A 12,142-nucleotide genomic window follows, 5' to 3' on the forward strand; every position below is an offset into this window, starting at 1 on the left:
ACAGATTATTGTCCAGAAGAATTATGGGCGATCAATCTAAACAGATACACATCTTTTTTGTTTTTTTTTTGTAACCAAATAGATTCATAATTTTAAAATTCAACAAGCAAAAGGAAAACAAGGACATTTAAAAAGTAAAGCAAATAAGCATAAAACCTCATTTTAGCTGGTATTCTTTGAGAAGACAAGAGATTATGCTGATAAGGCCAAGAAAGAACTAAAAGGGAAAAGCTAACCTTGTGAAGTGGAATCTCAACTATGACAATAGGCTTGCAGTTTGTTTCAACAAAATAATATGAAAATGTAACTCTGGTGCAGAATTATTTTGGATCCCCTCCTCCAAATAGACACCAGATTATATTGTTTGCCTTATTTTAAACCTGGAAGCTTGTCATAGGGCACAATTTTTTTCCAATGAAATACACTAGATAACTTATTGTCATAAATTGATCCTTTCAATTATTTTATTTTAGCAACTCCGTTGGCTCCAATGCTTGAAAATCTATGGAATGACTCTCATCACTTATAGATGGCAGAGGGATGAGTCACAATGTTTAAAGCCAAGCTAGATTTACACAGAGAAAAAAAATAGACCCTCTCATGAATCTTAGGAATCGTTTTACTGTCTTATACTCAAATAATAATTTTTTAACCATGGGTCTAAAATGGTTAAAAAATAAATCAAATTCTAAAAGAATCCCAAAAGCATAAAGTCTTTTTTTTTTTTAATCAAAAGCATCTCTGGATCTCTACAATGTAGATAGTTTTATATAGGACTTAGAATTTCCACATTTTCTGAACCTTAATATTTGATTCTTCACATTTTAATGTTTTATATGTTGAGAAAATTTTTTCATTGACTTGTACATTGAATATAATCTATCTTTTATGGAAAAACAGTTAAGTCTGTGTGATTCTTAAAGTAAAAAAATTACAAAATATAATCTATAGATGAAATAGTAAATTATAAAATAAAATATAGGTAAGAATTAAGTGTATTATACTTTATTATTAATATCAAATTCACTTATACTATTAACTCATAAACATGAAGTTAGTAGTAATATTAGAATTACTTTTATATCAAACACAAAAATAAAAAAAGTTTACAGCATGTACCTGGGTAACTCCAGCAAATTTCTTAACATTTTTCATTTAAGCAAAGGAATTCTTCATGTCAGAGTGGAGATTTGGGGAACTTTTTCTCTGCCTCCATCAAAACTTTGAATCATTGAACACGACTTAAATTTTTATCATTCAGATTTAAAAACCATGATTCCTAACTGCTTTGCCTACTGGTAATTTTCACAGAGACAGAGGAGGGTGTAAAAGTCCGGAAAATGTTGAGCAATATTTATCTGGAAGGGAACTTATAAAAGTAGTGAATACAGCAAATACAGCAGAACACCCTGCACAGCTCAGCTCTCACTAAGGAGAAAGTGGCCATGGCCTTAAACAAAGCAGAGATCACTGACAAAGAGCTCCGACTGTAGAGGTTGCATCTGTTTGCCCCATATTTTAACTTTATTTTGGAATGCTGACATTTGGAGTGACTCTGATTGGTCTGGAATTAGCCCTCTTATCGTGTGAAACATCTGTACTGTATTGTTCCAGGGGATTAGCTGCCCCTGGGGATTCTGTGAAGTCAGGACAATGGAGGTCATTAAAGGTGCAAACATTTATTTTCCGGCCTCTGGTTCTGCAGGAGAAAGCCAGTCAGCCGCCGATGGATTTCTTTCTTTTTTTCTCTTTTAATCCAAAGCTCAGCATTCTTGCAAATAACAACGAAATAACAGTGAACCCAACTAGAGTTGTTACACTGGAATTGATGACTTTAGGAATTTAGGATTATTTCCAGGCCAAAGAAGAGGAGAGAGAAAAATCCCAGAGTCCGTGTCAAAAGTTTGGAGTTGAAAGGAAATGAGATCCTGTCTGTCAAGAGTGGTGCTTGAGAGGATTCTGGGTGATACAATGGGACACAGCCTTAGGTGGAATTGCAATTAAATTATTTTCCTTCTGAAGTTTCCCTACTTGAAATCAACATTTTTTTCCCTTTCATCTGGTATCACTAATTTCATCAATAGTCCTCTCTCTAAATCTTCTGAGAGTAGACTCATATCTGCTAACACAGATAAAACCTGAGAGGAAACAATGTGTGCAGAAATGAGATTCCTAGTGTTTTGGGTTGAATTGTGTCTCCCCCAAAATGATATGATGAAGTGGTAACCTCCAGTACCTCCGAATGCAACCTTCTTTTGAAGTAGAGTTGTTGTAGATGCAACTAGTCAAGATGAGGTCATACTGGAGTAAGGGGGGCAGCTAATCCAATATAATTGGGGTGCATAGGAAAATGGAGCCACATAAAGCCAGAAACACACAGGAAAAACACTGTGTAATGATGATGAAACAGATTGGAGTTATACAGCTGCAAGCCAAAGCCTGCAAAGATGGCCAGCAAACCAGCAGAGCCAGGAAGAGGCCAGGAACGATTGCCGTAGAGATTTCAGAGGGGGCATGGCCCTGCAGACACCTTGATTTTTGACTAAAAGCCCGTAGAGATGTGAAACAATAAGATTCTGTTATTTTAACTCCCAGTTTGTGGTCCTTTGTTAAATGGGACCTAGAGTTAAATTCAGGTTACCCTGATTGCAAAAACGACCTGTCTGTACATCCTTTTACCTTATAAGTTGTTGTATTAGGGACAAAGTATGGGTAGAGTAGGTATGATAAGTGGTGGTGGTATTGAAACATAAAATTAATTCCTCAAACAAATATGGCATCTCCCAATTCTCTCTGCATATTAAAGGACATTCTTTAATGATCTATCCACTAGTCTGCTCTGAACAGCTCTCTAAATAATATGAGCCTACCACCTTTGGAAGATTGACTGCTTTCGAGCTCTGCAGGGTGCATTAGTTAAATGCCAATTACATTTACTAGACCAATACTTTTCAAACTGTGGTTAGTGACCATTAATGAGTGATAAAATCCATTTAATGAGTTATCCTCTTCTGCCACCCTGACAAAAGAAGGAAACCAAATAAAGTGAAACACAATAGCAATTTTGAAGTGCACTTTTACACTCTCCAAGTACTACTTTGGAAATATTTATGTCTATGACTATGTGTCCTGGGGGCTGGGGAGTAGGAGATATTATGTCTGTTCTAACTTGTGATATAAAATGCATTTCTTATTATGGGTCACAGAAAAACATATTTGAAAGCCACAGGGTTAGGCCATATTTCATATCTGAATACTACTTTATTACATTAAGAAATCTAGAATAAATGGAAGTAAATGTAATGTTTTATAGAAAGTGTTATTAATGATGCAGTGATTCCTAAGATGTTGATTATTTTTACAAATCATATAAACCTGTAGATTTGTAATGAGAGAAAAAGTTTCCATGACTGTCAAATTGCTGTTTCTCCAATCCCAGGACTTGCCAAAAAGTGTAAAATGTCATGAAATTTTATATTTGCTTTTCAGATGAGTTTCCCTAGTTATTCATGCCTCCTGCTCTAGAAACAATAGGACAATAGGCCTGTTATTGTAAATATTTTCAAACCTTGAATATACAATATCAAAAAACAGAACAAAAACAAAACATCAGCAACAAATAACACTCATAAACAAAATGAGAACTTTCAAAATAAAGCATCTAATAATGAACAAATAAATGGCTGATTGTTTAACTGGATATTCTCCTCTGCCTAATGTGAAAGAATCTATTGTTGGTCCCTCAAAGGTTATCTTGTCAATTCCTTCTAGGGCGAAGTGACAGGTTTAGCAGCCCACAGAAATGAAATGTCTTACCAAACAACACAATCTCAAAGAAAAAGCCAGATCTTATCTTGGGGCCCTAATTCCCAGACTTGTCCTCCTGAGGCTTGAATTTCTTTCTTATACAACATAGCCAAATCAATAACTTTTTTGAAAGAGAGATACAAATTACTAAAATTGATAAAAGAAGAAATAGAAAATCTGAGTAGGGTTATAACAAGTAACACAAATAAATTAGTTATTAAAACTCTTCCTAGAAAGAACAGGTCCATTCCACATGGCTTCACTGGAGAGGGTCCTAACAAATGTTTAAAGAAGAAATATCAGTCCTTACAAAGTATTTCAGAAAACAGAGAAGGAAATACTTTACAACTCACTTTTGAAGATCGGTATTAGTCTGATACCGAAGTCAGATCAAGACATCACGAGAAAACTACAGACCAATAACACAGAAGCAAAAATCTATGTTATTTCAAAAATATAGACAAAATATGTGGCCATTAACAATATTAGCAAATAGAATCTTTCAACATATAAAACTATGATATATCAGAACTAAATAGAATTTGTAATGGGAATGAAAGATTGGTTTAAAATTTTAAAAGCACTTAATGTAACACACTATTTTAACAAAATAAAGAACAAAATAATCACACATTTATTTCAACAAATATATTTAGAAATACTTGAGAAACTCAAGATCCATTTCTGATAAATGGTCTCAACTACTAGAAAGTGAAGGCAACTTCCTCACCTTAATAACAGTATCTAGAAAATCTACAGTAAACATCACCTTTGGTGGTTTAAGACTGAGTGTAAGGTTAGGAACAAGGCAAAAATAACTGCTCCTGACACGTCCATTTAAAATTGCACTAAAGATTCTAGCCAGTGAAATATGACAAAAAAAAAAAAAAAAGAAAAGAAAAGAAATAAAAGTTATACAGTTTGGAAGGAGATATGAAAACCGATTTTATTTTCGGGTGATGTGGTCCCGAATGCCAAAATCCTAAAGAATTCACAAAATTCCTGCTAGAACTAATCATTGAGTTAAAAAAAATGACAATATACAAACTCAGTACACAAAAATAAACACTATATTCATACTATAGCAATAAACAATCATTAAATAAAATTTTAAATTATAATAGCATCAAAAAATACTTAAGAATAAAATTAACCAAAAAGCGTAAGACCTGTGCACTAATATAAAACATTGCTAAAGATTTAAATAAATGGAGACATCCCATTTTTTATATACGTAAACACTAAATTATGAAGACGGCTCTTTTCAAATTTTTCTATATATTGAATGAACCCCTATTAAAATCCAGCCAATTTTAAAATAGAAATTTATAAGCTGATTCCAAAATGGTCATGAAAATGAGAAGGGTCCAGGATAGACAAAACAATTTTGAAAATAACAAAGTGAAGGACTTACACTACCTGATTGCAGAAACTACTAAAAAGCTACAGTAATCAAGACAGTGAGGAAACTGATGAAGACACAGGTACACAAATCAATGAAGCAAAATTAACATCCAGAAATAAACTCTTACATTTATGGCCAACCAATTTGCACCTAAGATGCCAAGGAAATTCAATGGGAGATTTTTCAACAAATGATGCTGTGGCAATAGAAATTTATTATATAAAGGGATGAATTTAGTCCTAAATGCCATAATTTTTTTTTCTTAAGTTCGACTTAAAGTAAAATGAGTGCACTGCAACAGACAGCATTTCAACAAGTCACAAACTGCAAGGAAATATTTATAAATCATATCACTGATAAAATACCCATGTCCAGACCAGCTCTCACAACTCATGGTATGAAAATAAATCACCCATTTGGAAATGAGCAAAAGATGTTCTACAGTTTCCTAGTATTGATAAGAAAGTACCACAAACTAGGCGGCTTAAAACAACAGAAGTTTATTGTCTTGCTTTTCTGGAAGCTGTAAGTCCAAAATCTAAGTGTCAGCAGGGCCATGCTCCCTCTGAAACTCTGAGTGGAATCCACCCTTGCCTCTTTCTAGGTTCTTGTGGTTGCCCTCAATCCTTGGCGATTCTCCACTTGCAGCTGCATCGCTCCAACCTCTTCCTCTGTCCTATATGGTAATGTCTGCTAAGTCTGCGTCTTCACATGGCATTTTCCTCCCTGTGTGTCTCTACTCTTCTGAAGGACATGAACCACATTGGATTAAGGCCCATCCTATTCTAGTACAACCTCCATCTTAACTTATTACATCGGTGAAGACCCTATTTCCAAATAAGGTTATATTTCTAAGTACTGTGTGTTAAGACTCCAAAATATCTTTTAGAGGACACAATTCAACCCATAGGACATGTAAATAGACATTTCACCAAAAATATATAATCAATAAGCACATAAAATGATGTTCAGCATCCTTAATCATTAGGGTAATGCAATTAAAACTATATTAAGATATCACTTCATACACATTTTACTGGCTATAATAAAAATTATAGGCAATAACAAGTATCAGATAGAATGTAGAGAAACTATAAACTAGCTACATTGCTCCTAGGAATGTAAAATTATAGAAGTCTGGCATTTTCCAGTAACCCCTCTCCTAGATATCTATAAAAGAGAAAGGAAAATATATAACCACACAGAGGTTATACATAAATATTCATAGTAACATTAAATATAATCACCAAAAATCTTAAACAATTTAAATGTCCATTGATTCGTGAATGGATAAACAAAATGTGATTTATCCACAAGATGGTATACCATTCAGCAATAAAATCGAACATGCTATAACATGGATGCATCATAATAACATAATACTAAGGGAAGGAAGTCATATTTGAAATGCTATATATTGTGTAATTCACTTTAAATGAAAAGCCCAGAAGAGCTAAATCTCTAGACAAAAAAATCAGTGGTTTCCTGGGTTAGGTGTCCGAGTGGGAATTGACTGCAGAATGGAATGGAGGTTGGGGTGATGAAAATGTTCTAAAACTGGACTGTGGTGATGCTTTTACAGCTCTGCAAATTTACTAAAAAATATTTTTGTGTATTTAAATTAGGGGATTGGCATATACATTATGTCTCAATAGAACTATAAAACATTTACCAGAGAGGGTAGGTGGTGGAGCGGTATAGACGAAATCAGCTTGGGAAAAATACTGACAATCATTGAAGCTGGATGATAACTAGTGGGGACTAATTATAGTATTCTTTTACTATTGTGTGAAATTCATTTCGCCTAGTAATTTTTAAAGAAAAATTAATGATATAAGCTTCTACTTCAAGCTCCTACTAGGCAAAACAACAAGTTAAAAATAATGTAAGCATTAAAATGCAAATAAGGCCAGATGTGGTGGCTCCCACCTGTAATCCTAACACATTCAAAGCCCTAGGTGGAAAGATTGCTTGAGGCCAGGAGTTTGAGACCAGCCTAAGCAACACAGCAAGATCTCATGTCTATAAACTAAAAAAAAAGAAAAATTTAATTAGCTGGGCATGGTTGTGTGAGCCTGTAGTCCTGGCTACTTGAGAGGGTGAGGTGGGAGGATTGCTCCATCTGAGGAGTTTGAGGCTGCAGTGAGCTAGAACCATGCCACGGCACTCCAGCCTGGGCAGCAGAGCAAAACCCTGTCTCAAAAATAAGTAAATAAATAAAATAAAATAACAAATTTAAAAAGAAAGCAAATAGTAAAGATAAAACAATAAATCAATAAAATTGAAACCAGAGACAAAACAAAAGACATTCAATAAAGCCCAAAGTTGATTCTTTGAAAAAGTCAATAGAATTGATAAACTCCAAATAAGTGAGAAGAAAAAAGGAAAAAAAAAACTATAGTGGAGATTACTACAAATTTTACAGACATTAATAAGGATATAAGACATTATAAAAATATCATGTAATAAATATGACAGGGTACACAAAGTGAACAGATTCTCTGAAAAACACATCTTATAATACTTGTCCAAAAAGATACCAGAAATCTCAATAGTCGTATAGCTGATAAAGAAAATGAACCTATAATCATAGGTTCATTAGAAACCATCCCAAGAGGGCATTTCACTTAAATGGCTTCACGTGTGAATTCTTCCAAACATTTAAGAAAGAAATAATATTATTCTACCAACGTTTACAGTAGACAATAAGGAAAAGCTCATATGCATATAAATGCATATTACATAATATGATATGACATGATATGATTACAGTATTATTTTAGTTATAAAATCAGCATAAACTTATTTTAGAAAATTAGAGAATAGAGGCTGGGCACGGTGGCTCACGCCTGTAATCCCTGCACTTTGGGAGGCCGAGGCAGGTGGATCATGAGGTCAGGAGTTTGAGACCAGCCTGGCCAACATGGTGAAACCCCGTCTCTACTAAAAATACAAAAAAAACTAGCCGGGTGTGGTGGCGGGCGCCTGTAGTCCCAGCTCCTAGGGAAGCTGAGGCAGGAGAATTGTCTGAACCCGGAGGCGAAGGTTGCAGTGAGCCGAGATTGCGCCACTGCACCACTCCAGCCTGGGTGACAAAGCAAGAATCCGTCTCAAAAAAAAAAAAAGAAAGAAAATTAAAGAATAAAGATAAATATGATAAAAAGTAAGTAACTCAATTTCTCACTTCCTAGACATTATTCCTGGTAACTTTTTTTATTTTTTAATTTTTGTAATTTTTATGCATGATCTTCATATAGGTAAAGTCATAAACTTTATGCACTATTTTTCTTTCTTTTTTCACATAATAATATAGTCCTTTTCTTGTGATTATAAAAAACATAATGGAATACTCTCATTCTGTTACAGATGTAATAAGAGTAGATCACTTACAGGATTATATACACAATGTTCTAAGAGCATAACTATATCACTTCATTTGAGTCTCACAAAATACTATACAGTTGTGTATTTACAGGTGTAGAAAAATGAGGGACGCACAGGTTAAGTAATATGCCCTGAGCTACACAGCCAGTTACTGACAGAGACACATTCTCAACCACCATACTAGACTCCTTTCTAATTTACTCATCCTCTCCTCTAGTGTAGACACTTAGTCTTGACTGTCACGTGTAAGGCTGTCTACAGCTTGGATTGAGTGTGTTTCTTAGTAATTAAATTTTCTTCTATGTTCTAGGAATTTCCCCTGTGGGAAAAATCCATCTTGAGCAAAAATAGTGAGTACATTTGTATCACTCTGTGAGATCCTTTGTCTCCTTTTTTAAAAGGAGCTTCTTTTGAGCTTCTTTTTAAAGGAGCTTCTTTTGAGAGCTAAGTGTCCCTGAAATTATGTACTAGAGGAGAAATAAGCAAACCACCTCCACCAAGTGACAGTTCAGTTTATTTAAAATAAAGTATTGTAGTTACAAGCAATTTTTTTGTTTCACTTCTTACCATCTGATTTCAAAATTAAGTCACTTAATTTTTTTCTTTACACCTTGAATTATTTGTCACTATAGAAACAGCATAGCTGACACAAAATTGTTTAATATATGTCTGTTTAATTTTAAAAAATATTTTTTGCCGGACTACTTTTTAAGTAATTTATATTGATTTTATTTCTGCCACTTGGAAATATATATTACACACACATATAGACATATATATATATACACACACATACCTACACACACACAAACACATATATATACACACGTATATGTATTACATATATAAATCAGAATTCATATTAATTTGTTTAAATTTTCATCTGAATTATTTGGGGGTAATTGAATAAAAAGTATTATTATTGAAAGTTTATTGTAGGCCAAGTACTATGTCAAATAGTTGGCATGTTGTATTATATTAATTTATTTAATATTCTTTATAATATTGTGAAGTTAGTGTTACAATTGAGAAACCCAGGTACCCTTAAGTAGCTTGAGATTTTAGGTAAATTTTTCAAAGTTGCAGAGTCAACTCAGTCAGAATTCTAAACACATGCTTTTTGATTTCAAAGCCTATAACCAGTACCTCAGGACAATACTGTCATGGTGGAATAGATTGTCAATTGGCAATATAGTCTAGAACTGTTTGCTAGATTAACATACAAACTGAAATAAGTGTTGTAATACGGCAGTTGATCTTAACTCTGGATGCATTTTTGAATTATCGGGGAAGCTTTTAAGATACTGAAGCCTGGGCACCAACTCACATAAATTAAATCAGAAAGCTAAGACACCAAGTTTAAATATCAGTACTTTTAAAAACCATTTCAGTGTGAAGTCAGAGTAGATGACTATTAAAATAAAACATAGTGAGTAAGTAAACACTTCCTTGAAGTTTGCAGACCAAGGAGACACTGTTTTCTCTACTTCCAATAATAAGATTTAAAAGTTTCCATTTTAGAAACAAACCATCTGCTATTATGACATCATTTATTTAATTAAGATCTGTGAGTAATTTTATTTGCAAACTCTGGCTAAATCTACTTAGATAAAAATATCATATTAAAGTCTCAAATTTTTTCCATAAATAGTGAGCTATAGCAGTGCAGTTATTAGGGAATAGATTCACAGCAGGGTTGGGTTATAAGTATTGTTAGATATTCCCAACTGAGACATTTGGAAATAAGTTAATAAGTAATGAATTAATTAACAAAATATGTAATTAGACTAAATAAAAGTTTCCAAGTCCAGAGACTCTTAGATACAACTTTCAGAAACAAATAGTGGCAAAGTAGTTATATAAATGAAAATAAGCTAACCATATGTCATTTATTATTGAAAATGACAGGTTTTGAAAAGCAGTAACAACATAGTCAGTGGTGTGGCTTGAATGTTTGTCCCCTCAACAACTCTTGTTGAAATTTAGTTACCAGTGTAATAGTATTGGGAGGTAGGACCATTAAGAAGTGATTAGACCATGAGAACTCTGCCCTCATAATTGGATTTAATACCTTTTTAAAAAGTCTTTTTGGAGTGGGTTATCTTTCTTGCCTCTTTCACTTTTCTCCCATGGGAATAACAATGTCCCTCCTGTCCCTCCCCTTAGAAGGTGGCAGCATTCAGAAGTGGAGATCAAGCCTTTACTAGACATCAAATCTGCCAGCGCTTTCATCTTGTATTTCCCTCCCTCTAGAACTGTAAAAATTGTAAATTTCTGTTCTTATAAATTATCCAGCCTCTAGTGTTCTGTAATAGAAGCAAAAATGGACTAAGACAGCCAATAAATCAAATTGCAAAAAAACAAACAAACTAAAAATGGGGGGCAATATAGCATGCTACAGGCTGGGAGCAGTGGCTCACACCTGTAATTCCAGTGATTTGAAAGCAGGAGGCAGGAGGACCACTTGAGACCAGGAGTTCAAGGATGCAGTGAGCTATGATGGTGCCACTGCACTCCAGCCTGAGGGATAGAGCAAGATCTTGTCTCAATAATAATAATAATAAATATGGTACAGTATATGAACACAGTGGAAAGTGGCAAAGCAATTATTTTTGGGGTGGAGGGTAAGACATGACAGCAATTGGTTAATGCACTTCACAGGTAAAATAACTTCTATGGAAGAGCATCACGTAGTTGATGGGTCCTCTCATTTTTTATTAGTTATTTATATGCAACCAAACTTCGTATTCATTCCTAAGTGATAAAGGGAACTTAATGGCTCATAGTTTCAAACAAAAAAGGACAAGGAAAATGGAGAAAATTTATCATGGGCAAATATATTTACATAAGAGAAGTAATTTGGAAGGCTTAGAAGGTTGAAATCATAAAAAAATGAAGTTTGATAAGAAGTAATGTTGTCATATTGAGAAGGAAAGAAACTAAGCTGGAAGAGTTTTTATGATAAATTATGTTATGGAGTAATTGTCCATTCGAACAGGCGAAACTCTAATTTGGTACAGCGAAGATTGGAAAATCACTCTACGATGTATTATAGGAGGTATCTGCATAGGCTAGGACAGGTGATCCAATGGTATTTAATTCTAATTATGTACCTTTGAACTTATTTATATCAAAATTAAGCAAATGTATTCTGTTTAATTGTAGCTATTCTGAATAAAATTGCCACACTTTTCATGCTTTCATCCTTTTGACTAGATTTCATATGATGCTATATAGAAATAACTCTCATGTAAGGAAAACTGCAGAATTACCATTTTGTAGGGCTTTTCATTGCCAGATATGATTGGAAGTGTTGGAGTGAGGCTAAGGTACTTGCCTTGAAGCTGCTTTGGAATAGCAAGGACAATATCTTCCGAAAGGGTCTGTTGGTTGTTTAATCATCCTACGTTGGGTCTGCATGAGGAAAAACATAGCCAGGAAATACATGGTCATTGGATCTACTGACTTCAAAGAAGTCACCTTCAACAGGATGACTAAGGTAGATTTGACTCAAGGACCAGAGATGTTGGTGATGGGGTTTACTAT

General features: G+C 34.0%; 1 long non-coding RNA gene across 3 annotated transcripts in view; it reads right to left on the bottom strand.

The window, feature by feature from the left end:
* LOC105370603 (uncharacterized) overlaps positions 1-12,142 on the bottom strand; it is an 82,165-nt gene that overhangs the window by 36,134 nt on the left and 33,889 nt on the right. The window contains exon 1 of one of the 3 annotated variants that reach the window (XR_944099.3): positions 1,120-1,279. The exons of the other annotated variants lie outside the window; for them this stretch is intronic. This is a non-coding gene — a long non-coding RNA (uncharacterized LOC105370603). Of the gene's footprint in view, positions 1-1,119; positions 1,280-12,142 lie in introns of those variants that run through there. 3 annotated transcript variants of the gene reach the window in all.

Source organism: Homo sapiens, chromosome 14 (genome assembly GCF_000001405.40).
Source record: "Homo sapiens chromosome 14, GRCh38.p14 Primary Assembly".
NCBI classification, from domain to species: domain Eukaryota; kingdom Metazoa; phylum Chordata; class Mammalia; order Primates; family Hominidae; genus Homo; species Homo sapiens.